Source organism: Homo sapiens, chromosome 16, assembly GCF_000001405.40.
Source record: "Homo sapiens chromosome 16, GRCh38.p14 Primary Assembly".
Classification (NCBI taxonomy): domain Eukaryota; kingdom Metazoa; phylum Chordata; class Mammalia; order Primates; family Hominidae; genus Homo; species Homo sapiens.
The window spans coordinates 66802379-66828392 of record NC_000016.10 but is presented as its reverse complement, the minus strand read 5'-3'; the positions used below and the strand labels follow the sequence as shown (position 1 = coordinate 66828392).

Sequence of the window (26014 nt, the reverse complement as noted above, 5' to 3'; positions counted from 1 at the left end):
CAGCCTCCCTAGTAGCTGGGATTATAGGTGCGTGCCACTGTGCCTGGTTAATTTTTGTATTTTTAGTAGAGACGGGGTTTCACTATGTTGGCCAGCCTGGTCTCAAACTCCTGACCTCAGGTGATCTGCCTGCCTCCGCCTCCCAAAGTGCTGGGATTACAGGCGTGAGCCACTGCGCCCAGCCAAGATGCACCAGTATTCTTAAATTTACTCTCCAACTATCTAAGCATCCATCAACCATATATGTCAGGTGTCTTCTACGTGCCATACTTTGATGGAGAAAACAGGCGTTTACGGTCCATCTGGTTCTTCTAGGCGATTCCTCCATACATTTGACAGCTGTCTGGGCCCTTATGGAGCATACAGTGGAGTGGAAAGATGGATGCTCAGCAAACAAAAACAAATGAAGCCAGGTACAGTGGCTTGTGCCTGTAGTCCCAGCAACTCTAGAGGCTGAGGCGAGAGAAATGCTTGAACCCAGGAGTTCAAGACCAGTCTGGATAACATAGTAAGACCCTGTATCAAAAACAAAAACAAAAAACAAGGCAGTTGCTTGACATGCTCTGGAGGACATACTGACTACATAATAAGGGGTAATCTGCTTTAAATCAGGTAACAGGGAAGGCACATTAATCACTCTATTAGAATGTTCATTGGGTAATATACTTTAAAGCACTCCTGTAGAAGTTGATGTGAGGCTTTTCAGATGATAATTCAGTTTTCTTGGTAAAGCTTTTGCAGAAGTCACAGTAATAAGCCCTATGTCGAGATCTTAAATGCATCTAACTTAACTTAAATGCATCTAATATAATTTTTTTTTTTTTTGAGACGGAGTCTCGCTCTGTCGCCCAGGCTGGAGTGCAGTGGCGCAATCTCGGCTCACTTCAAGCTCCGCCTCCTGGGTTCACGCCATTCTTCTGCCTCAGCCTCCGAGTAGGTGGGACTACAGGCGCCTGCCACCACGCCCAGCTAATTTTTTGTATTTTTTAGTAGAGACAGGGTTTCACCATGTTAGTCACGATGGTCTCGATCTCCTGACCTCGTGATCCGCCTGCCTTGGCCTCCCAAAGTGTTGGGATTACAGGTGTGAGCCACTGCACCTGGCACATCTAACATAATTTAAGAATAAATGAAATAGGGCTGGGCACGGTGGCTCACACCTGTAATCCCAGCATTTTGGGAGGCCAAGTGAGCTGAGATCATGCCACTACACTCCAGCCTGGGTGACAGAGCAAGACTCTGTCTCAAAACAAAACAAAGAATAAATGAAATAGAAAACAGATGAGGGTTTAAATCCAAAGACGCTTTTTAAATGTTTGTTTGTTTGTTTTGAGACAGAGTGTCGCTCTTGTGCCCAGGCTGATAAGGGGCTGGAAGACCAAGTTTCTGTTTCTAATTTGACCCTCTCCCTCTTTTCCCCTAACCATTCAAGGCATCAACCTGAGTTCTAGATTACTGTATAATCACTATACTAATATCTGTTCCCGTCTTACCTGTATTCTGTGGTTATCATATCAGTCTATGCAAGGAAAGTTTAAAGATCACCATTCAAATAAGAAAGCTGTATTTTCATGAAAGTTTTAAAAACATCAAATTTGTGTCTGTTTTGTAGGTTGTGGGGTGATCATGGGCAAGAGGCTTTAGAATCTGCTCATGTTTGCCTAATAAATGCAACAGCCACAGGAACTGAAATTCTTAAAAACTTGGTACTACCAGGTAACGTAGGTTTGTGGTTGTGTTCTAAATATACTTCTTTAAGTTTATGACCTAGAACTATGTATTCCTGACTGACTCTGTTTTGGCTCTCAGGTATTGGTTCGTTTACAATTATTGATGGAAATCAGGTCAGCGGAGAAGATGCTGGAAACAAGTATGTTCTATTCTCTTCAAATATATTCACGTTAAGGAAGGCAAGGCCTGAGTCTTAGCTTCACCTCCTCAGTCAGGGTGACTCGACTCTCAGTGGAAATCATCCTTATGTTTGGGATTATGGTGAGGAAGTGAGATAATATAGGTAAAGTGCTAGTACAGCATCTGGCAAATAGGGCATTAATAAATGTTACCCATCATTACTGTCTTTATTGTTATTAATACAAAGGAGTAGTCGTTATTCCTTTATTCATGGAATATGGGCACTTCCTAAGCTCTTGTATTGATCCGTAGGTGTTAGCATATAATTAACAATAATGCCTGTTGTTTGTGATGTCTTTTAGGCTTAGTCTAGGGGTATCTCTCTTTACAGTGTCAACAAAAATGCTGTTTTAAAGATGGCCTGTATATTATTCTTTAAAGATTATATTTAGACTTTCAGAACATGCCCAAATTTGGATTTAAAGCTCACCTTTTCAGGGACTTGAAGTCTGGTATCTCTCATTGTGTTTGTCAGTAACAACAACAGTGAGTAAATATAAGGGAAACCAGCAATTAGTTCATATTTAGTTTTGATGCCTTTTCTTTGGATCGTAGTGCCAGTTTCTGCCAGGCACAGCACAGCTTTTTTATTGATATATACCAAGAAGTCTTGTTATCTTTGCTTACTTGGTGGGTTAGAGTAGAAAGTGATAAAAATAAGGTTTCTTCTTATGGAGCCAGTGAGCTTATACCGAAAAGTGGCATCCTGACTCTGATCAGCAGCCTCATATCTGGGCCTTGAGACATGTCAAGGGTATGTGTGGGAGGAAGCCTGAATAAATCTGTTACAGTTACGTGCAAAAACAAATGGTTCAATACACCGAGAGTGGTCTGTGGAACACCGGTTCTAGGGAACGATAAGAGCTGTTAAATGGGCCAATGGGTTCCATAGTGAAATTAGTTTGGGAAATGGATCAAATGAAGTAAAAATTTCTTTACCATAAGATTTTAGTATCACATGTATTATGTGTATTATGAATTTCCAAGAGGGAAATATAGTATATGGTGTTTCCCAAACTTTTTTTTTTTTTTTTTGAGACGGAGTCTTTCTCTGTCGCCCAGGCTGGAGTGCCGTGGTGCAATCTCGGCTCACTGCAAGCTCTGCCTCCCAGGTTCACGCCATTCTCCTACCTCAGCCTTCCGAGTAGCTGGGACTACAGGCGCCCGCCACCACGCCCGGCTAATTTTTTGTATTTTTAATAGAGACGGGGTTTCACTGTATTAGCCAGGATGGTCTCGATCTCCTGACTTCGTGATCCGCCCACCTCGGCCTCCCAAAGTGCTGGGATTACAGGCATGAGCCACCACACCCGCCGGTGTTTCCCAAACGTTTTTAGCCAAGGAACCCTTTTCTCTCAGAGGATCTTGTGAAATTCACATGCTGTGGTACACAATTTGGGAAAGAAACATTGATTTATTAGCCTATCTTTCTTTATAAGTTCCATCTGATTTTCTTCCTCCAGGAAGGCCATTACAGTCTGTAATCACAATATAGTTTGTTTTATACTGTGAATGAAATATGCATGCTATTACAAACAACTTTTCCTTTATAGTCAGTAAGCTTTACTTTTTTTTCCTTTATTCTGTTCACTTTAGTTTCTTCCTTCAAAGAAGCAGTATCGGCAAGGTAAACAATTAGAGAATATAGTTGGATGTGAGCATCTAATGATGCCCCTGTGTTTTGATTGCTTGAAAAGCTTTGACTTTAAAAACGTGTATTATTTCTCTGAGAAAAAAGTTAACTAATTTTTGTAATCTTGTAAATCTTCATATGTTTGGTAGTTTAAGAACTTAGAGGTGTACTGTCTGTGTTTATACATTGCATCCTGTATTAAAGCTAAATCTTGAGTAATGTTAATATTCATTCTGGTTAACAAATTTTTTTTTTTTGAGACGGAGTCTCGCTCTGTCCCCCAGGCTGGAGTGCAGTGGCGCGATCTCGACTCACTGCAAGCTCCACCTCCCAGGTTCACGCCGTTCTCCTCCCTCAGTCTTCCGAGTAGCTGAGACTACAGGCGCCCACCACCACGCCTGGCTAATTTTTTGTATTTTTAGTAGAGATGGGATTTCACCGTGTTAGCCAGGATGGTCTCGATCTCCTGACCTTGTGATCCACCCGCTTCAGCCTCCCAAAGTGCTGAGATTACAGGCATGAGCCACCACGCCCAGCCTAAAAAATCTTACAAAACCATGTTAGTCAACTTAGTGAAATGACTTTTAGCTTAGTGATTAACCACTCTTGTACAGGATTATAGATGTGGGTGGTTAGAGTGAGTCTGAACTTGATCCAGGATATCCCTGCCTGCTACCCAGAGTTTTTTGGTCATTTGCCTAATCAAAAAAGTAGAGTACAAGTAATGTCATTTGAGAACTCTGGATGATGATGGTTTTGCTCTGTTTTAAGTAATATTCTGTTGAGTCTTAAACACTAGGAGAAGCAGAATTGGCTGGGAGCAGTGGCTCACGCCTGTAATCTCAGCACTTTGGGAGGTCAAGGCAGGAGGATTGCTTGAGACCAGGAGTTCAAGACCAGCCTGGGCAACATGTCAAGACCCTGTCTCTACAAAATATTTTTTTAAAAAATTAGCTGGGCATGGTAGCACATGCCTGTAGTCCCACCTACTTGGGAGGCTGAGGCAGGAAGATTGCTTAAGCCTAGGAGTTCAAGGCTGCAGTGAGCTATGATCAGGCCACTATGCTACAAACTGGGCAACAGAGCAAAAGCCTGTCTCTAAAAAGAAAAAAGAAGGGAAACAGAGTTGTCATACTTATGCATGAAATTTGGATAGTTTTACAGTATGTTTGCCTGTTCCATAAATTGGGGGATTATATTGTGACCAAGTTTTTTCTAATTCAAGTTAAATGCTTTGTTTTTAAAAAGAACCGAGCTGAAGCTGCCATGGAATTCTTACAAGAATTAAATAGCGATGTCTCTGGAAGTTTTGTGGAAGAGGTATATATGTACACACATTATTATGTCTGTGCTGAAATACAATTTTTTAAATAATTCAAAGCCCCAGAAATTTAGAATTTTGAATCTTTGTGTCATTTATGATTAGTTGAATTGGAATTGTTGCCTCATTTGTTGTAAAATAGCTTAACTGTCTCTGCCATGTTTAATATGATTGTGAAATTGGTTTTTTTTGTTTGTTTTTTTCTTTGCTGTCCTGTTTAGAGTCCAGAAAACCTTCTAGACAATGATCCCTCATTTTTCTGTAGGTTTACTGTTGTAGTTGCAACTCAGCTTCCTGAAAGGTAAATTTTTATGTTAATATGTTTTTATTTTAATCTTATTAGATTTGCATTGTTTTATTTTCTTTGCACAGTCTATGATGATATGGTTTTAAAAATTGTTAAATTCTATAGAAACTTTAAATATGAAACTTTTTTTTTTTTTTTTTTTTTGAGCTTGAGCTCAAATTCCTGAGCTCAAGCAATGCACCCTCCTCGGCCTCCCAAAGTGTTGGGATTACAGGTGTGAGCCAACGTGCCTGGTCAAGAGTTTCAGATTTATGGCTGGGCACGGTGGCTCATGCCTGTAATCCCAGCACTTTGGGAGGCCGAGGCAGGTGGATCACGAGGTCAGGAGATTGAGACCATCCTGGCCAACATGGTGAAATCCCATCTCTACTAAAAATACAAAAATTAGCTGGGCGTGGTGGCTCACGCCTATAGTCCCAGCTACTCGGGAAGCTGAGACAAGAGAATCGCTTGAATCAGGGAGGTGGAGGTTGCAGTGAGCCAAAGATCGTGCCACTACACTCCAGCCCTTGTGACAGAGTTAGACTCTGTCTCAAAAAAAAAAAATAAATAAATAAATAAATAAATAAAAGAAATTCTTAGAAATCTTCCAGCATTGAAAAGATGAGGAAGAGAAAAATACTGAAACTTTTTTTTTTATTATTATTCTTTAGACAGAGTCTTGCTCTGTTGCTCAGGCTGGAGTGCAGTGGCACAATCTTAGCTCACTGCAACCTCTGCCTCCTGGGTTCAGGTAACTCTCGTGCCTCAGTCTCCCAAATAGCTGGGATTATAGGCATGTGCCACCGTGCCCGGCTAATTTTTGTATTTGTAGTAGAGACGGGGTTTCACCATGTTGGCCAGGCTGATCTCAAACTCCTGGCCCCAAGTCATCTGCCTGCCTCAGCCACCCAAAGTCCTGGGATTACAGTTGTGGAGCCACCAAGCCTAACCTTAGATGTGAAACTTTTGGAATATATTTAGAGCAGTTAAACCGAACATTGTTTTTTTGTTGTTGTTGTTTTTGTTCTTTGTTTGTTTTAGTGATTAAAAACTAGTTAGAATTGATTATTGAAGGCTGGGTGCAGTGACTCATGCCTGTAATTCCAGCAGAACCAGGCTGAGACAGGTTCAGATCACTTGAGCACAGGAGTTTAAGACCACCTGGGCAACATGGCAAAACCTTGTGTCTACAAAAACTACAAAATTTAGCCAGATGGTGTGCCTGCTTGTGGTCCCAGCTACTCAGGAGGCTGGGATGGGAGAATCACTTGAGCCTGGGAGGTCGAGGCTGCAGTGAGCCATGATCATGCCACTGCACTCCAGCCTGGGCAACAGAGAATTGGTTATTGGAATTGTTAGGGGTGTATTTGTGGGTTTTATATTTTTTCTCTATCATGGAAATGTTTAGAATTATCTTTCTTTAACGTTTCTCCTTAATATGACAGACTAAAGTTTCACATCCCTCTTGTCCAAAGATGTACTTTCTTTGAGACTGCAGCCTGTGGAAATGCTTGCTTTTCAGTGTGTTCTTGACCTGCTTATGTAAATGCAGTTATGTACCTTTGCATCTATTATTTAGTAAGAAAGTTGCTGTAAGACATTTTCATGTTTTGCATGTTTTCATGTTTGGCATATTTCCATTTGCTTATGTTCATATTTTGCTTTTTTTTTTTAAACAGCACTTCACTACGCTTAGCAGATGTCCTCTGGAATTCCCAGATTCCTCTTTTGATCTGTAGGACATATGGACTAGTTGGTTATATGAGGATCATTATAAAAGAACATCCAGGTAAAATTGTTGAGCATATGGGCTTACTATTGGTTGCTTTAGCTATAATTTTAGAAACTTGACAATTTAGAAAGTCAGTTTTAAATTACAAAGTAAATTTGTAGCAGCACATCTCTAGTTGCAGATTCAAAGTGGCAATCAGATTCAATAGGCTGCAATCTACTCTTTATGTAGCATTATAGAAGGATACAAAGCATGATATACCACAGGCACAGCTTCTTCATCTTATTAGGAGATCCAGCAACTATGCAAGTACCCAGCTTCTTTTGCCCCCTAACCCACATTGGGCATGTATGGCTGTGGAGAGCTAAGGAATGTGGATCACTCTGACCCATGAAGTTACACCACCTTTCCCCACTCCAGTCTTTTTTTTGTTTTTTAAGACAGAGTTTCGCTCTTGTTGCCCAGGCTGGAGTACAATGGCACAATCTTGGCTCACTGCAACCTCCACCTCCCGGGTTCAACTGATTCTCCTGCCTCAGCCTCCCAAGTATCTGGGATTACAGGCACCCGCCACCATGCCCAGCTAATTTTTTTTTTTTTTTTTTTGAGACGGAGTCTCTCTCTTTTGCTCAGGCTGGACTGCAGTGGCGCGATCTTGGCTCACTGCTACCTCCACCTCCCGGGTTCACGCCATTCTCCTGCCTCAGCCTCCCGAGTAGCTGGGACTACAGGCGCCCGCCACCGTGCCCGGCTAATTTTTTGTATTTTTAGTAGAGATGGGGTTTCACCATGTTAGCCAGGATGGTCTCAATCTCCTGACCTCGTGATCTGCCCGCCTTGGCCTCCCAAAGTGCTGGGATTACAGGCGTGAGCCACCGCACCCGGCCGCCCAGCTAATTTTTTGCATTTTTAGTAGAGACAGGATTTCACCATGTTGGCCAGGCTGGTCTCGAACTCCTGACCTCAGGTGATCCACCCGCCTTGGCCTCCCAAGGTGCTGGGATTACAGGTGTGAGCCACTGCACCAGGTCCGTCCAATCTTTTATTTCATTCTCATGCAGGCTTTAGGTTCTCTCAATTCAGGTGCAATTTCACACAACAAAGACATTTACATAACTACTGTTCCCAAGGAAACTGTTGTAAGAGACCAAAGTCGTTTATAGGCAGACCTCCATCAGCTGAGGGTTTATATAAGCCCTTTACTTATAAAATTTTAATCTTAGATGATCATAAAATTTTCATCCAGTATTCAAAACAGTGCTCTTTATTGACTCAAGAAAACATTTTTACTATGAGCCAAGCACTCTGCTAATGTGGTGATAGCCATTGGCATTGGTAGCATCACTGAGGAGTAATATCTGTGTGGGCAGTTAGGGAGTGCTTGTCAGGATAAGCTCTGGCTGCTGGTGGTGAGCCATTTAAGAGTTGAAAGTGGTGTCAACTGATGGGAGGGAACAAAAGAGTTGAAAGTGGGAGAGTGACCATGTAAACATTTTATTTTAAATGGGTCACTTTGAAGTTGAGTGGAAAGTAAATGGATTTAAAGGGGCAAAGATTGGAGGCAGTGATTGCTGTTAGAAATTTCCAGTGGCCTAAGTAAGAGAGAGTGTGTTCTTTTTCCTAATTTAGGGAAGAGAAGAAGAGAGGGTAGATAATAATGAAGGTTCAGCATTACTAGTTGTGTGCCTGCCTTTATAAGAATTATTTCATTTACTCTTTCCAAAACCTTTATAAGGTACAGATTGAGTATCCTTAATCCAAAAATCCAAAATCAGAAATGCTCCAAAATGCAAAACTTTTTGAGAACTGACATAATATTCAAAGGAAACACTCATTGGAACATTTCTTACTTCAGATTTTTGGGTTAGAGAGCTCATCTAATATGTATTTGCAAATATACCAAAAACTCAACAAAATCCAAAACACTTATGGTCCCAAGCATTTTGGATAAGAGAGATATACAATCTGTAGATACTTTAATATCTGCTTTTTATAGATGATGCTGAGGCAATGAGAGATTAAATTATTTGCCTAAGGTCACATAGTTAGCAAGTGACAGAACTGGGCCTACCTCTAAGCACTCACTGAAATTATACACTCTCCTGTCCTCTCTCATGTGGAGAGCAGTGTACAGAGTGAGATTAGGAAGTGGGGAGTTACTGATGTTGGGGCCAAGGAAGCAAGAAGTGAAGGATGCCCATCAGGTTTCTGGAGAAGAAGTCTAGGTAGATGGTGATGCTGTCTATTGAAGACCACAAGAGGAGGAAGGATAGGTTGTTAGTTGCTATCTGTACCTAGGGTTTGTCAATGTTGAGCTTTTCCAGTTAGAACAAATTGTGTTCTAAAGGAATCTTGGTTTTACTTTTACTAAAACTTTATAGTTGACTTAAGATTTCTGCATTTTACTATATGTAAATCGTACCTTAATAAAACAGTGAAAAAACCTGTGGGCCCTGTGTCCATTTAAAAATTAAAGATTTCCTAAGTTTCTATAATTCAATGTATTGTCATCAGTATTGCCAAAGAATTAAGTTTATCTTTTGAGCTGGGCACGGTGGCTCACACCTGTAATGCAAGGACTTTGGGAGGCCGAGGCAGGAGGAGCCCTTGAATCCAGGAGTTTGAGACTAGCCTGGGTGACATAGTGAGACCCTATCCCTACAAAAAAATTAGCTGGGCACAGTGACACGAGACTGTAGTCCCACCTTCTCAGGAGGCTGAGGTGGGAGGATCCCTTCAGCCCAGGAGTTTCAGCAGTGAGCTGTGATTGTGCCACTGTACTTCAGCCTGGGTAATACAGCAAGACCCCATCTCTCTCTTTTTTTTTTTTAAGTGTTAAATTTATCCTTTTGAATTCTTTGTTTCACAGTAATAGAATCTCATCCAGATAATGCATTAGAGGATCTACGACTAGATAAGCCATTTCCTGAACTGAGAGAACATTTTCAGTCCTATGATTTGGATCATATGGAAAAAAAGGTTGGTAGTGTGTGTGACCTTACATTTACAGATAGACTTAAAACATTTTTTTAACCTAAGGTTTTTGAATTACACTAAAGTGAGAAAATCCTATAAACTTCCATATTCCTGTCATCCCGATTACCCAATAACAGTATTTTACCTTGTTTTCAACATATTAATTTTTCTCCAAAATTAAAAAACTTTTTTACTGAAGAAAAGTACATATACTGAACATCTGTGTAATCACTACCCAGGTCAAGAAATTGGACATTAACCTATTCCAGGTGGGGAGATGGGGATGGTTAATGGGTACCAAAAAAAAATTAGAAAGAATAAATAAGATTTACTCCTTGAAAGCACAACAAGGTGACTATAGTTAGTAATAACAACTCAGTTATACATTTTAAAATAATTAAAAGAGTTTAATTGGATTATTTGTAACATAAAGGATAAACGCTTGAGGGGATAAATGCTATACAGATACCCCATTCTCCATGATGTGCTTATTTCACATTGCATGCCTGTATCAAAGCATGTACCCCATAAATATATACACCTAAGTACCCACAAAAATTGAAAGTAAAAAATTTTAAAACAAAAAACAGAAATAAAAAAATTCCAAGAAGTTCTCTTTATGGACTTTTTCTAAACAAATAGAAATAATGACATAACACTATAAGGCGTATATGTATTTTTTCCCACTTCCATATTAATTAACATGCAGTTGCTTATTTGGTTCATCAGAAAACAGAAAAGATCCTCCTTTCTTACTTAGGATTGGTGTCTGAAATTGAGATTTGAGCTGTGTTTTTGGGTGGCAGTCTCTGAGACTGTTTTGCTGGTATAATGGGGACAATCATAGTATATATGTGACATACTAGGTATCTGCCTCTAGAAAAATTTGTAAAGCAGTTTTTATTAACTCAGTTCATTTTCGTCTATTCACTACTCTGCATATATTAGGAGATCATAAATATTGTTGAATTTGTTGAAAACGAGATGGTACAGTGAAGAATTCATAATACTGATATTTTCTTTTATTTGTCTCTCATTTTTAGGACCACAGTCATACTCCATGGATTGTGATCATAGCTAAATATTTAGCACAGTGGTATAGTGAAGTATGTCCTTTTTTAAAAAAAATTTCATATGCAACTGTATTTTCAGTTTCTTACAAAGGATTTCCTTGATGGGGAATGGGAGATTAATTTTTTTTCCTTATGGAGTTGTATGGTAGGGCAAATGGATGCTTTTAAATTTAAATCTAGCAGTTCCTCTTTTGATCCTGATAATTTTAATTAAAATGAAATTCAATAAATGTCATTATGAAACTGGCAGGGGGAATGAATGTAGATAAATGGTCACAGTGTCTGTTTTCTATCAAGTGAGCCTCTGATTTCACAGAGAAATATATTTGTTGATGAAATCTTATGTAGAGAATGGGGGACACTTTAGACTTTCAATTTCTGTATTTTGAATTTTAATAACTAGATTTTTAAAATTTTTAACCAATTTAGACAAATGGACGAATACCTAAAACGTATAAAGAAAAAGAGGACTTCAGAGATTTGATTAGACAAGGTAATATGGGATATGATTAAATACTGTATAAAGCTTGAAAAGCAAATTGCTAGAGGCAGGTACTTATTGGATTTCTGTTAACACCTTTGTCAGATGATAGCATCATGAGCTTTTATTTTCCTTCTGGAGAAGTTAAGAAGCCACGCCTTGTATAGTTTTAAGGACTAATGATAAGCCGTATTTCTTCTTAAGATTTAATATTCTGCAGGATCTGACAAGGTTATTTTTATAATGGGGGAACAGAAGAGTGAAAAGAAAAGGGCTGTTTGCTAACAATTTCCCATTACAATAGGAATTCTAAAAAATGAAAATGGGGCTCCAGAAGATGAAGAGAATTTTGAAGAAGCTATTAAAAATGTGAACACAGCACTAAATACAACTCAGGTAATGAAAGAGTTGCTGAGGGATTCACATGAACAAGATGTTTTCTAGAGTCCTTGGCTATTAAATGGTTGACTATAATGATTTAAGTTAATATTTTCTAAATGTATAGTTAGAAATAAATACAGGGCCGGGCATGCTGGCTCATCCCAGCACTTTGGGAGGCTGAGGCGGGTGGATCACCTGAGGTCAGGAGTTCGAGACCAGCCTGGCCAACATAGTGAAACCGCGTCTCTACTAAAAATACAAAAATTAGCTGGGCATGGTGAACATACCTGTAATCCCAGCTATTCGGGAGGCTGAGGCAGGAGAATCACTTGAACCCAGGAGGCAGAGGTTATAGTGAGCCAAGATTACACCACTGCACTCCAGCCTGGGCAACAGAGTAAGACTCCGCCTCAGATGCCTTTGGTTTTGTTATGGCTTAGTTGTTGAGGTCTGACCATTGAAGTTTTTGGGGAGCTTTGGAATAACACCTGGTAGTTTAAGTTAGAATTTTCTTGTAACTTAAAACAGCAAATATGCTGCCTTTCAAGTTAGGAAGGCACGTAAGATATTATTACCAACTTTTTAGAGACAACAAGGCAGTGTTGCTGAGTGATTAAAAGTGTGCTGGCTGGGGCCAGGCGCGGTGGCTCACACCTGTAATCCCAACACTTTTGGGAGGCCGAGGAGGGCAGATCACATGAAGTCAGGAGTCCAAGACGAGCCTGGCCAACATGGTGAAACCCCATCTCTATTAAAAATACAAAAAATTAGCTGGGCATGGTGGTGGGCACCTGTAATCCCAGCTGCTTGGGAGGCTGAGGCAGGAGAACCGCTTGAACCTGGGAGGTGGAGATTGCAGTGAGCTGAGATCTCATCAGTGTACTCCAGCCTGGGCAACAAGAGCGAGACTCTGTCTCAAAAAAAAAAAAAAAAGTGTTTGCTGGCCAGGTGTGGTGGCTCACACCTGTAATCCCAACACTTTGGGAGGCCAGGGCAGAAAGATTGCTTGAGCCCAGTTCAAGACCAGCCTGGACAACGTAGGGAGATCTTGTCTCTACAAAAAATTTAAAAATTAGATGGGTGTGGTGGCATGCACCTGTAGTCTCAGCTACTCTGGAGCCTAAGGTAGTGGGAGGATCGCTTGAGCCTGGGAGGTTGAGGCTGCAGTGAGCCATGATTGTGCCACTGCACTGCAGCCTGGGCAATGATATGAGACCCTGTGTCCAAAAAATAAATGTGCTTTGTGAATCACTTTTCTGGGGTGATGAACATTTTCTGTTTTAATTGGGGTTATGGTTAAAAATATGTATATATAGTTATCAAAATGCATTGAATTGGACATTTGAAATCTCTGTATTTCACTGAATATAAAACCACAGTTGAAAAGAAAAGATTCTAATAGTTGGGGGGCAGTAAGCTAAATAAACAGATAAAAATGCACCAGGTGCTGTGAACAAAATTACAGCAGAACAAAGGGTCAGAGAGCATGCTGGGGACAAGGGAATCCGGGGTTGAGAGACAATTGTACATAGGGAGCCAGGGAGACTTTCCAAAAGACATTTAAGCAGAAGCCTGAGTGAAGTGACACGCAGAGGTCTGGTGGAAGAGCTTTTCAGTTGGAGGGAGCACATGTGCAAAGGCCCAGAAGTGGGATGAAGCTTGACTTTTGTTCAAGCATCAGTAAGCAAGTCAGTGTGATTGGAGTGAAGTGTAAAAGGGGGAAAAGTGGTAGGAAGGATTTGAGTTTGGAGAGGCAGAAAGGGCCAGATCATAAAGGCCTTGCAGGCTATTTAAGCATTTCAGTCAGGGAAGTGGATTGAGCTGCTTTGTATTCTAAAAGACCATTCTGGCTTTCATGAGGAGAACACAATTGAGGGGACTGGGAGTGGAAGCAGAGAGAGCAGTTAGGAGGTCCCACTGAGACATTTCTTTTTTCCACCCATCAGTAGAATCCAAGCCTATGATTTGTGTGTGTGTGTGTGTGTATTTTTTTTTTTTTTTTTGAGACAGGGTCTCACATTGGTGCCCAGGGTAGAATGCAGTGACACAATCACTGCTCACTGCAGCCTTGACCTCCTGGGCTCAAGTGATCCCCCCACCTCAGCCTCCCAAGTAGCTGGGACCACAGGCACGTGCCACCACGCGCAGCTAATTTACTTTTATGTTTTCTATAGACGGGGTCTTCCTGTTTTGTTCAGGTTGGTCTCAAACTCCTGGGCTCAAATGACCCTCTCACCTTGGCCTCCTGAATGCTGGGATTATAGATATGAGCCATTGTGCTCAGCTTTATACTCTTGATTAACGTATGAAGATCTTGCTAGCAATAAAATTACTTTATGGTTTTAGTTTTTTTCAGAGTGGTTGTCTCAACGGTCACTAATTAGGGTGCAAGGGTTTCAGATTTTTGACAAGATGGAAAATCATGATATACTGCGAGTCTATAATCTGTTTTGTCTTCAGATGTAACTATATAAAATAATTTACTGGGGCCCCTTCTTTACCCCATTTATGGTATAAGAGAATAGGTATTAAATGGTAGCAACAGTGGGCCGGAGAGGTCTTTCTTCCATTCTTTCCCCATCAAATCTTCATATGGTACTGATTCTAAATAAAATTATAAACCAATCAGAAGTTTGTATTTGATTACAATTTGAGAATTCAAAGAACATATCTGAAGAAATAGCACTGAAAATAAAGATGGGCGAATTCTTAATACTGTGTAAGTAAATGTTTCATGTTCCTTTGTTAGATCCCAAGCAGTATTGAAGATATATTTAATGATGATCGCTGCATAAATATCACCAAACAGGTAACAACAACAAAAGTAAAAACATTGCTGCTAAAACTTTGGGTCAAAGTAAAACGCCACTTAATGTTAATTTTTTCTTATTCTTTTAGACTCCATCATTTTGGATTTTAGCTCGTGCCTTAAAGGAATTTGTGGCCAAAGAGGGTCAAGGAAATTTACCTGTTCGAGGCACAATTCCTGATATGATTGCAGATTCAGGCAAATATATAAAACTGCAAAACGTGTATGTCACTGTTTTCAAACTATGTAATAGAAAAAGTCTGATTATATTAGAGATAAACATTTTATCATCCTGTCAGAAATCAAATGAAAGTTTATTACAACCTCATTGCTTATAAATAAACTAGGCCAGCTGCAGTGGCTCATGCCTGTAATCCCAACACTTTGGGAGGCCAAGGTGGGAGAATTGCTTGAGTCCAGGAGTTTGAGACCATCGTGGGCAACATAGTGAGACTTCCATCTCTACAAATTGAAAAATTAGGTGGGCATGGTAGTGTTCGCCTTTAATCTCAACTACTCAGGAGGCTGAGGCAGAAGGATCTCTTGAGCTCAGGAGTTTGAGGCTGCAGTGAGCCATGATCATGCCACTTCACTTCAGCCTGGGTGACAGAGCAAGACCCTGTTTCAAATAAATAAGTAAAAATAAGCTGAAGAACTTAGACCAGGCTGGGCGCAGTGGCTCACACCTGTAATCCCAGCGCTTTGGGAGGCCGAGGCAGGCGGATCACGAGGTCAGGAGATTGAGACCATCCTGACTAACACGGTGAAACCCTGTCTCTACTAAAAATACAAAAAAATTAGCCGGGCGTGGTGGCAGGCGCCTGTAGTCCCAGCTACCCGGGAGGCTGAGGCAGGAGAATAGCGTGAACCCGGGAGGCGGAGCTTGCAGTGAGCGGAGATCGCACCACTGCACTCCAGCCTGGGCGACAGAGTGAGACTCTGTCTCAAAAAAAAAAAAAAAGAACTTAGGCCGGGCGTGGTGGCTCACGCCTGTAATCCCACCACTTCGGGAGGCCGAGACGGGTGGATCACAAGGTCAGAAGATCAAGACCATCCTGGCCAACATGGTGAAACCCTGTCTCTACTAAAAAAATACAAAAAATTAGCCAGGTGTGGTGGTGCGCACCTGTAGTCCCAGCTATTCGGGAGGCTGAGGCAGGGGAATCGCTTGAACCCAGGAGACGGAGGTTGCAGTGAGCCAAGATCGTGCCACTGCACTCCAGCCTGGAGACAGAGCAAGAGTCCGTCTCAAAAAAAAAAAAAAAAAAAAAAAGAACTTAGGGGGCAATTCTTGTTAAGCTCAAAGCAAAATTGAATGGGAAATACAGAATTACCACATACGCCTAGGAGGCAGAGTTTTTTTTCATACTTCATGATAAACTTAATATTTGATCCCTTAACTCTGTGCTATGAACTATATGTATTAAGTAATTTAACACACACACAAGGTTCACAACGACCTTATGAGAGAGAGAGAGACTGTTACCGGCCCCATTTTACACATGAAGAAACTAAGGTATTGAAAAGGTTACTTATACAAGGTCAGATAGCTGGTAAATGGCAGAACCAAGATTTGAACCCCAGGAAACCCAGTACCAGAGCCTGTATGCTTAGCTATGGCCCTATACTACCTTGTATTTGTAACTTAAAACCATGAAGGTTTGATGAATTTTTTATCTTAATGTTTCATAAGTTATAGTCTATGACTATAGCTAGACATCTTGCTATCCAGGTATCACTAGCCTGAACCCAGATAGACTATCACAGGGATGGGTCTCAATGAATATGACCCTCGTATAGTTAGGGCATGGTGCAAAGAATCCAGGTCTGCTGGCTCGGTTTCTTTGGGGTCCAAGTAATGTCACACAGAGATGATCTCTCTTCCCCAGACAGATTTCACTCTTTATCATGTCACCATTGAACGAATCTTGGTTTGTTGTCCTAGCCTAAGAGTTCAACTACTTAAAACTTGGGGAAGGTCAATTGAGGATAGAAAGAAGTATGACCTTACATGGGAGGTAGTCAGCCTGAACACTGATGATTTTTAGAGGGTGAAAGGTAAATAGACGTAAAGAAAACTTTTATGGCCGGATGCAGTGGCTCACACCTGTATTCCCAGCACTTTGGGAGGCCAAAGCGGGTGGTGAAATGTGCCACAAGGGATGTTCACAGTTGTTTTAAATGGTTGAAATTTTACGTTTTCCATGGTCTGTCTCAGTGGTATAGATACAGATAATAATTGGGTAAGGGTTTTTTTTTCCTCTCATAATAAATACAGAGTATTTTAAAACAATCAGAGGTAGAGCATGTTTATCTATGGCAATGCTAAAAAGGTATGAAGGTCAGTTAATTGAAAATTGTCATTAATACAGTATTTTCAGTTTCTAAATCACTTGAACCCAGGAGTTCAAGACCAGCCTGGGCAACATGGTGAAACTCCGTCTCTACAAAAAAGACAAAAATTAGTCGGGCATGGTAGCGTGTGCCTGAATTCCCAGCTACTTGGGAAGCTGAGGTGGGAGGATCAGTTGAGCGTGGGAAGTTGAGGCTGCAGTGAGCCAGGACTGCGCCACTGTACTCCAGCCTGGGTGGCAGAGCGAGATCCTGTCTCAAAAAACAAAGAAGTTTTACATTGGAGATGAACAGTTTTAATGTATTTAACTTTCCTTGGACTTGACTTCCAGGAGATAAGTCATGTTCTTCAGTAATGTATTTTTTCAGGTCCTCTGTCACAGAAGCCGAAATCATAGATCCCTCTAGGGGAGCAGTTTTTAAGTTGGGTGCTGTTAGAGGGACCCTGGGTTTTAGTGGGCACTGAGAGTCCGTCACTAACACTGGAAAGATTCCCAGCTACTCATGGTGCTGTTGATAGCATTTCCCTGGCATTTTCACATTTCATACATTGTCAGACCTGTGTTTTTTCATGAAAAGGAAAGAAAATTTTTGTTCATGGTAACAATTTAAATTTTGCTAATTTAAAAATTTGTTAGTAATTGCTTTTTATTCTTTTTTAGTTACCGTGAAAAAGCAAAGAAAGATGCTGCCGCTGTGGGTAATCATGTTGCCAAATTGCTGCAGTCCATTGGCCAGGTAAGCTACTGGGCACACTGTGCCCATACAGGCCTCAGCACGTAACTCCAGCCAGAAAGGGTTTAGAGACAGAGGGTGTGGCACTGCCTCTGTGCTTCTTTAGAGGGAGCTGTCATTTCCCTGCCTAATGGGATAGCTTGTGATAAGGAAACAAGATATTTTTAAAGTGCTCTCCCAGCTCTTGGAGAAAGCCTTCCCATCTCACAGTGATTGGCTTTGTGCCGCACCCTTTGTTAATCTTCTCTTTTAAACTGGAACAGAATCTGTATTTATCTCTTTACAGGCACCAGAGTCCATTTCAGAGAAAGAATTAAAATTACTCTGTAAGTCCCCTTGAATTAATTTCCTTATTTTGCTTGATAGAAATGTGCCACAGGGAATGTTCCCAGGTATTTTGAATGGTTGAAATTTTAAGTTTTCCATGGCCTCAGTGATATAGATATAGATAATTATTGGGTAAGGTTTTTTTTTTCCTCTCATAATACAATACATGGCGAGTATTTTAAGACTGAATCAGAGGTAGAACATGTTTATCTGTGGCAATGCTAAAAAGGCTTGACGGTCAGTTAATTGAAAATTGCCATTAATACAGGATTTTCAGTTTTTAAATTTTAAGTAATTTAGGAAGTTTTTTTGTCTGAAGACTTTGGGTGTGAAGTCTTGAGTCACATGTACATTGACAATATTGGTTTAAATACTCATTTTGATCTGTGTTAAATGACTGTAATGGAGTTAAGAATTTTGCCATCTAGTTTCGGAGTGGTTAGGTTCGTAGGAGTCTTCTCAGTAACTCCTCAGTAGGCCAAAAGCATTTTCTTTTATTTAAGAGTCAGTTTCAAAATACCCAATCTGTTGTGCATGCCATCTGAAGATTTCTCCCTGTAGCTACTGCTCCTACGTCCTGTGGAAGTTTATATTTTGCATGCTCCCCATCCTTAAAATAGATTTATCCAAGCTTTCCATTTTATGACTTCTCCACAATGTCTGTTTAGGCTCGGTTTTAATGTTTTCTGCCACTACTAATCTTGCACCTTGTTTGTTCTATTAGACTAATCTTGAATTAGCGTTTGTTGTATTAGATTATATAATACTAGATCACAAGTTTGATGCTGGGTATTTGAACATTTATTATTCTGTTCTACTTTGGGGCGTTTTTGAAAATTTCAATAATACAAAGCTTAAAGTCATTACATATATCAAGAGTACAATTCATAAACCTCTCTCCTTTAGGACTACTTATCCATAATAATGATGAAAACTATTATTTTTAGAGCCATATCAGGCATTGTGCTAGAGATGCACTTTATACAGATGTCACATTTAATCTGTAGAACAATTCTCAAAGGTAAACAGTATCATCCCCATTTTACACTTGAAAACTGAGGTTCAGAGAGGCCATCACCTTACTTGCTTCTGAACTGGTTGTAGTGCCAGGGATATAAATTTAAGGTGATTCATGTTCTAGTGCTTTCTCTGCTATTAGAACCAAGGAGAAAACATTTCTTCACATTCTCATGTCTGAGAAGGGTATACACATAATTCTCTGTTCTTAAAGTCACCTGTGATTCATAATATTCACCAGTCACAGTCATTACTTCCAGAATATCTTTCCTCTGTTCAGGCAGCAATTCTGCATTTCTTCGAGTGGTAAGATGTCGATCCTTAGCTGAAGAATATGGTTTGGATACAATTAACAAGGATGAAATTAGTAAGTATAATAGCCTTCTGATTCTGGGTTAATTTTAATTAATTTAAAAGATATAAATATTTTGTGTATAATAGTGTTGAGTATATGGTGATGATATTAAAGATAACGTAAACATATTCTAATTTTATTCTAAGCTTATCTAGGTAATTATAATTTATATATTATATGAAACTTAATGTATGCATAAAGTCATATTTAGGTCACTGAGTCCATTGTGTGATATGTATGAGTTAAAGTCAGTATGTTACTACTTCAGTAGAGATTGTGTGACTCCAGTTAATAGTCCTGAAACTCAAGTATATAGTAAATTCAGCCCTTCATTGTTTGTTACATTGCAAATTAACCAAATTAAACTGAAATTTTTTTTCCTTTCAGTTTCTAGCATGGACAATCCAGATAATGAAATAGTGTTGTACTTAATGTTACGGGCTGTTGATAGATTTCATAAACAACAGGGTAGATATCCAGGTAAGAATAGCAATTGAATTACCAGATATAATAAGATCTTCAATAAAACATTTAAATTGAAAGTGTTCTCAGGGTATTTATAATAGTGTTGCTTGAATTTCACATTGTAAACAGATTACACCCCAAACGTTCCCCAGTGAAGAACCACCTTTTGTTTTTTAAGTTTAACTATTTGCAAAATAGTGTTCGATTCTAAACTATTACAGGGGGATGTTGGTTGAATATGTATAGAAGAAAACTTTTTTCTGTCATTTTCCATAGTTTGTTACTAAGACTCACACTGAGTTTAATTTAGTGGAATAGGAAAGCCACAAGAAATATGCTGGCCAGGCATAGTACGGTGGCTCACGTCTGTAATGCCAGCACTTTGGGAGACTGATTCAGGCAGATTGCTTGAGCCCAGGAGTTGGAGACCAGCGTGGGCAACATGGTGGAACCCCATCTCTACTGAAGATACAAAAAATTAGCCAGACATGGTGGTGTGCACTTGTAGACTCAGCTACTCGGGAGGATCACCTGAGCCTGGGAAGTTGGGGCTACAGTGAGTTGTGATTGTGCCACTAAACTCCAGCCTGGGTGACTGTGGTGAGACTGTCTCAAAAAAAAAAAAAAGTATGCTACTAATTTCTGAACTCAATAACTCTGAAGATGTAGGAATTTCTTTGTTTAGTTATCTACTTTTTATCTTCAGCAAATGTAGTCATTGGAGAATTGGCATAATCTCAAAGATCTGAGGTTGCTCAGAATATTTTTCTTTGGGATGATAATTTTAATTGTGCAGGATTATTGCATAGCAACACATTCTAGGGGTATCATAAAACCTGCTGCTCCATCTGATACAGTGTGTCTCCAGAGTTTATAGTCTTTTTTTTTTTTCTTTTGAGACGGAGTCTCGCTCTGTCGCCCAGGCTGGAGTGCAGTGGCGTGATCTCAGCTCACTGCAACCTCCGCCTCCTGGGTTTAAGCAGTTTTCCTGCCTCAGCCTCCCGAGTAGCTGGGACTATAGGCGCCCGCCACCTCGCCCAGCTAATTTTTGTATTTTTAGTAGAAACAGGGTTTCTCCGTGTTGGCCAGGCTGGTCTCGAACTCCTGACCTCAAGTGATCCTCCTGTGTTGGCCTCCCAAAGTGCAGGGATTACACGCATGAGCCACTGCGCTGCCCAGAGTTTATAGTCCTAACAAGCAAGCTTACTAGAAGAAAAAAAAAGAATAAACACCAAATATGTATTGCTTTATTTGTATTATTTGATTAGTATTTATTTCAGTTATCTGTTGCATAACAAACCACTTCAAAACTTAGTGGTTTAAAACAATAAATAGTGTCGTGATTTTGTGGGTTGCCTGGTCTCAGGCAGTTCTCCTTGGGGAGGCATGCAGTTGCTTGAGCCTGGGGGTGGAGTCATTCTGAAGGCTTGACTGACTGAGTTAGACATGCAAGAAGACATTTTTACTCATGTAACTAGCACCTTAGTCAGAACAGTGGGAATAGCTGGCGGCTGGTCAGGTATCTCTTCACGTGGCTAGCTTGGACTTCCTTTTGGCATGTCAGTTGGCTTCTGCAGTTAACATTCCAAAAAACCCAAGTGGAAGGTACAGGGCTTTTTATGACCTAGCTTTGGAAGTCATACAGCATCACTTATGAGCTAAGTAACTTAATCTCTCTGTGCTTTAGTTTTCTCTTCTATAAATGGAGATAACTATACATACTTCATAGGACTGTTTTGAGGATTCAATCAATTAATATAGATATAAGGTCCTTAGAACAGTGTCCAGCATCTATTAATGCTCAATAAATGTGACCTATTATTGGCCAGGCATGGTGGCTCACACCTGTAATCCCAGCACTTTGGGAGGCCAAGGCGGGTGGATCACTTGAGGCCAGGAGTTCGAGACCAGCCTAGCCAACACTGAAACTAAAAATAGAAAAAATTAGCTGTGTGTGGTGGCGCACTCCTGTAGTCTCAGTTTCTTGGGAGGCTGAGGCATGAGAATCATTTGAACCCGGCAGGCAGAGGTTGCGGTGAGCCGAGACTGCACCACTGCACTCCAGCCTAGGTAACAGCAAGACTCTCTCTCAAAAGAAAAAAAAAAAGTTACCTATTATTAATAGCTTTATGTCCTCAGTGTCATTTATCATTTAGTCTTTTAGAATTGGAGAATAACTTTTATAAAGGGTATAAGTAGGACATTACTTTCTCATTCATTAAGTTCTTCTATCAAATAATTATTAAGCACTATGTGCCAGATGCTTTTCTAGACAGTGAATATGATGCAATTAATAAAGATTTAATTAAATTCAAATTTTTACTAGGTTTTAGTTGGTCTCTGATTATAGGTTTGTGATATGTGCAAATATTGGTCTCATACTTTGTTATTTTTGTTCTTCAGTTTCATACATATTTTGACTAGAACATCTGAAACTAGATTAAATAAAGGAGTTGGCCATTAATTTTGAATCACATTTATTTTAATGAAAACTAACTTTTATTTTTAGGAGTATCTAACTATCAAGTTGAAGAAGATATAGGAAAGTTGAAGTCTTGTCTCACTGGCTTCCTTCAGGAATATGGTTTATCTGTAATGGTGAAAGATGATTATGTCCACGAATTGTGAGTATTTTTTAGGGTATCTAGGAGATGATTCCACACCTGTCATAAGGCTAATCAAAATTCATGTCTCTGTGGTCTCCTTTAGTTGCCGATATGGAGCTGCTGAGCCACATACCATTGCTGCATTCTTGGGGGGTGAGTTCCATATATGAGAAGACTCACCTGTTGTTACATAGTACAGTTACTATTTTAATACAAAGTTTTGTCGTCTAGCTATTTTAATTAGGGAGGTCAGTGAAGCAGGATGTTATATTTCTTTCTTTTTTTTTTTTTTGAGACGCAGTCTCACTGTTTTGCCCAGGTTGGAGTGTATTGATGCCATCATAGCTCGCTGCAACCTCAAACTCCTGGGCTCAAGTGATCTCTCGCCTCCGCCTCCTGAATAGCTGGGACTACAGGCATGTGCCAGTAAGCCTGGCTAATTTTTCAATTTTTTGTAGAGACAGGGTCCCACTATGTTGCTCAGGTTAGGATATTTATTCAGTTGCCCCTATACTGGTCTCCCTGCCTTCCATCTCTCCCACTGCCATCCAACTTAAACTCCTTAAGAGTCATTAATCCTTCTAAAGCATAGCTCTGATTGTGTCCTTTTACTAACCCTCTGCCCCACCAATATACATAACACTCTACAACAGTCCTCCAAGCAAGTCCAAGGACTTTGGCTTGACGTTAAAAAACCCTGTGTTTTGGTTCCACTCGGCCTTTCCAGCCTTGGTTTTATCATATTACTTGCTTTCCCCCCAGGATGCCCTTTGATTTCCTGCTCCTAGATCTTTGCTCCTCTGTGCCTATTTGCCTTAAAAATATGTTTTTCTGCATGTCCAAAACCTATATGTTCTTCAAGACCCAACTCAAAAATGACATGTCTTTCATAAAAGCTCCCTTTACTTCCCTCCCTCACTCTACTTCCCCCTTGTCTTAGTCAGTTTGGGCTGCTGTAACAGAATATCATAGACTTATAAACAATAAAAATTTGTCACAGAGTTCTGGAGGCTAGAAGTCTGGGATCAGGGTGCCAGCATGGTCAGGTCTGGTGAGCGCCCATTTCCTGGTTCATAGGCAGCTCTCTCTTCTGTGTTCTCACATGGTGAAAAAAAAAATGGCAAGAGAAGTCTCTGGGGTCTCTTCTTAGGGCACTAATCCTATTCATGAAGGTTCTACGCTCTTGACCTAATCACCTACCAAAGGCCCTATCCTCATACAATTACACTGGGGGTTAGGATTTCAACATATGAATTTGAGGGGGAAACGAACCATTCAGTCCATAACACCCCTCAAAAAAAATTACTGTCCTGTGATCTCCTGTAGACTGAGCTATTAGCTTGTGGCATTTTCCTTCTAGATGTTGAATGTTTTAAAGGCAGATTTAGGTCTAATTAATATTTGAAGTGTTCAAAATGTAAATGCATCATACAGACCTAAGAAAACTATTTTCTAAGCAAATCCAAATTAAAGCCTGATTCAGAATAATTTATTTTAAACTAAAACCAAGTAGTCTCTTGTGCCAAAGTAGCAAAATTTTCTGCCAATTCACAGAAAAGGGCAAATTATTATTTATTCAGATGCAGTCCAGAATCTAAGAAGAGGTACAGCCAGATGGATGGACTGGATGACTTAACTATAGCAGAAAAAAGTATAAATTGAAGGTTTTCTTTGTTTTTTTTTTTTTGTTTTTTACTTCTGTGCATTCTGTAATCATTTTGCACAGTGCCATTATATCCCTTCACTTCCTTCAGGTTTTATTCAAATGCTGTCTTCTCTGCGATGCCATCCCTGACTCTCCTATTTAAAATACAAACCCCTTCTCTTGTATTTATATCTCCCTTATTTGCTTTTTCTCCTTAGCACCTATGGTCAGTTGACATACTACACATTCTATTTATTTGTAAATAAATTCTCTCTCTCTTGCTGCTAAAAAGTAGCATGAGGGTAAGTGGATCTTCTTGTCTTTTTTCCTTACTGTATCCCTACTGCCTAGAACAGTATTTGGTGCACAGTAGTCTCAAATTCTATCCAGTCGGCTGAGCGCGGTGGCTAATGCTTGTAAGGCCTCCGCTTTGGGAGGCTGAGGTGGGCGGATCACTTGAGGTCAGGAGTTCAAAACCATCCTGGCCAACATGGTGAAACTCCATCTCTACTAAAAATACAAAAAAATTATCCAGGTGTGGTGGCAGGCATCTGTAATCCCAGCTACTTGGGAGGCTGAGGCAAGAGAATCACTTGAACTTGGGAGGAGGAGGTTGCAGTGAGCCGAGATCACGCCACTGCACTCCAGCCTGGGTGACAGAGTGAGACTCTAGTCTAAAAAAAAAAAAAAATTCTATCCAGTCCATGAATATTTGGGAAAGAGGAATCTTCAGGTTATAGAAGATGCACAAGTTTTTTTCTTAGTAGTTTTTTTGTTTTGAGTAAATATAGCGGTCTGGCGATATTTAATATAGATCCTTCCTAAATTACAAATGCATTCAGAACAAATATACCTTTCTCCTTTTTTATTATAAAACAGATACAAGGTAAAATTCAAATGCAGCAGTAGGGTGTCCTTTGAGAATCTTTTATGCCTGTGTGTATCCTTTAAAGTTTGGTCAACCACACTACTGTTTAGATTTCCTTTAATAACAAAAAGAATTATAGGCTTTTATGTTGATATGACTCAGTAAGCTAACTGCATCTGTTTTGGGTCACTTTAAAACACCTTTGCTTTTGAAAAGGAAAAGTTTCTTTACAGAATTGAGTATGTAACTCTTGAAGTTTACTCTTTCAAAGATTTGCTTTTCTCCTTTTTCCTTTCAGGAGCTGCTGCTCAAGAGGTCATCAAAATAATCACCAAACAATTTGTAATTTTTAATAATACTTACATTTACAGTGGCATGTCACAAACTTCAGCAACTTTCCAGTTGTAGAGTAAGCAAGCACCTTAAGTAGTGTGTTAATGATTGAAACTGTAATTGCCTTCGGGTTGTGCTTTAGTCTGTAAAATTCTAAAGGAGAGCTGCTAAATTGTTTTCTTAATAAACATTTTTCTCATTTGTAATAATGTAGTCTTGTTCTTTGTGGGGAGGGGAAAGGAGACAGTCATTTTCCTAGAAAATGAATCCTATCCATTTCTCACTGAGCATCAATATTGGCTTGCTATTTCAAAGTTACTTGTCATAGATTATCCTTGTGTTTTATTAGAGATAATTAAAAATTTTTTTTCTTACCATCTTCAATAATGAATTTAAGCCATGTGCAGATGTTAGCTATGGACATTTTAGGACCATCATCATTTGTTAAAATGAATAGAATTTAAAAAGATATTTCTGGATATGTAGTTTTCCCAGAAAACAAGACCATCCCCTTGTATGTAGTATTATCTTAATTAACTTGAGTTTTGGCTGCCTAACCTACTTCTTGAAATTTTATGGGGTCATTCTACTCATATTATATATACTCTTAAATTTAATCACATGGGACTAATAGCATTCACCAGCATATTAGAGGGCAAAAAAAAAAAGGAAGTAGTAGATGCAAACAGAGTGGAAATCCAGAAT

At 39.8% G+C, this 26014-nt stretch overlaps 1 protein-coding gene across 5 annotated transcripts in view; it reads left to right on the top strand.

Moving 5' to 3' along the window:
- Window positions 1-25515, top strand: part of NAE1 (NEDD8 activating enzyme E1 subunit 1) — a 28099-nt gene extending 2584 nt beyond the window's left edge. Inside the window, exons 2-21 of one of the 5 annotated variants that reach the window (NM_001018159.2) lie at window positions 316-413; window positions 1613-1716; window positions 1810-1870; window positions 3508-3538; window positions 4793-4864; window positions 5087-5166; window positions 6834-6943; window positions 9756-9865; window positions 10906-10968; window positions 11365-11428; window positions 11721-11812; window positions 14547-14606; window positions 14696-14829; window positions 17621-17696; window positions 17980-18019; window positions 19318-19404; window positions 19780-19872; window positions 22367-22481; window positions 22567-22616; window positions 25275-25515. In NM_001018159.2, coding sequence (NP_001018169.1) covers window positions 379-413; window positions 1613-1716; window positions 1810-1870; window positions 3508-3538; window positions 4793-4864; window positions 5087-5166; window positions 6834-6943; window positions 9756-9865; window positions 10906-10968; window positions 11365-11428; window positions 11721-11812; window positions 14547-14606; window positions 14696-14829; window positions 17621-17696; window positions 17980-18019; window positions 19318-19404; window positions 19780-19872; window positions 22367-22481; window positions 22567-22616; window positions 25275-25384 — 1587 coding nt within the window. In that variant the 5' untranslated portion in view covers window positions 316-378 and the 3' untranslated portion in view covers window positions 25385-25515. Of the gene's footprint in view, window positions 1-315; window positions 414-1612; window positions 1726-1809; window positions 1871-3507; window positions 3539-4792; window positions 4865-5086; window positions 5167-6833; window positions 6944-9755; window positions 9866-10905; window positions 10969-11364; window positions 11429-11720; window positions 11813-14546; window positions 14607-14695; window positions 14830-17620; window positions 17697-17979; window positions 18020-19317; window positions 19405-19779; window positions 19873-22366; window positions 22482-22566; window positions 22617-25274 lie in introns of all 5 variants that reach the window. The other 4 variants (NM_003905.4, NM_001286500.2, NM_001018160.2 and 1 more) reach the window with 4 other exon arrangements.
- The last annotated feature ends 499 nt before the right edge of the window (window positions 25516-26014 follow it).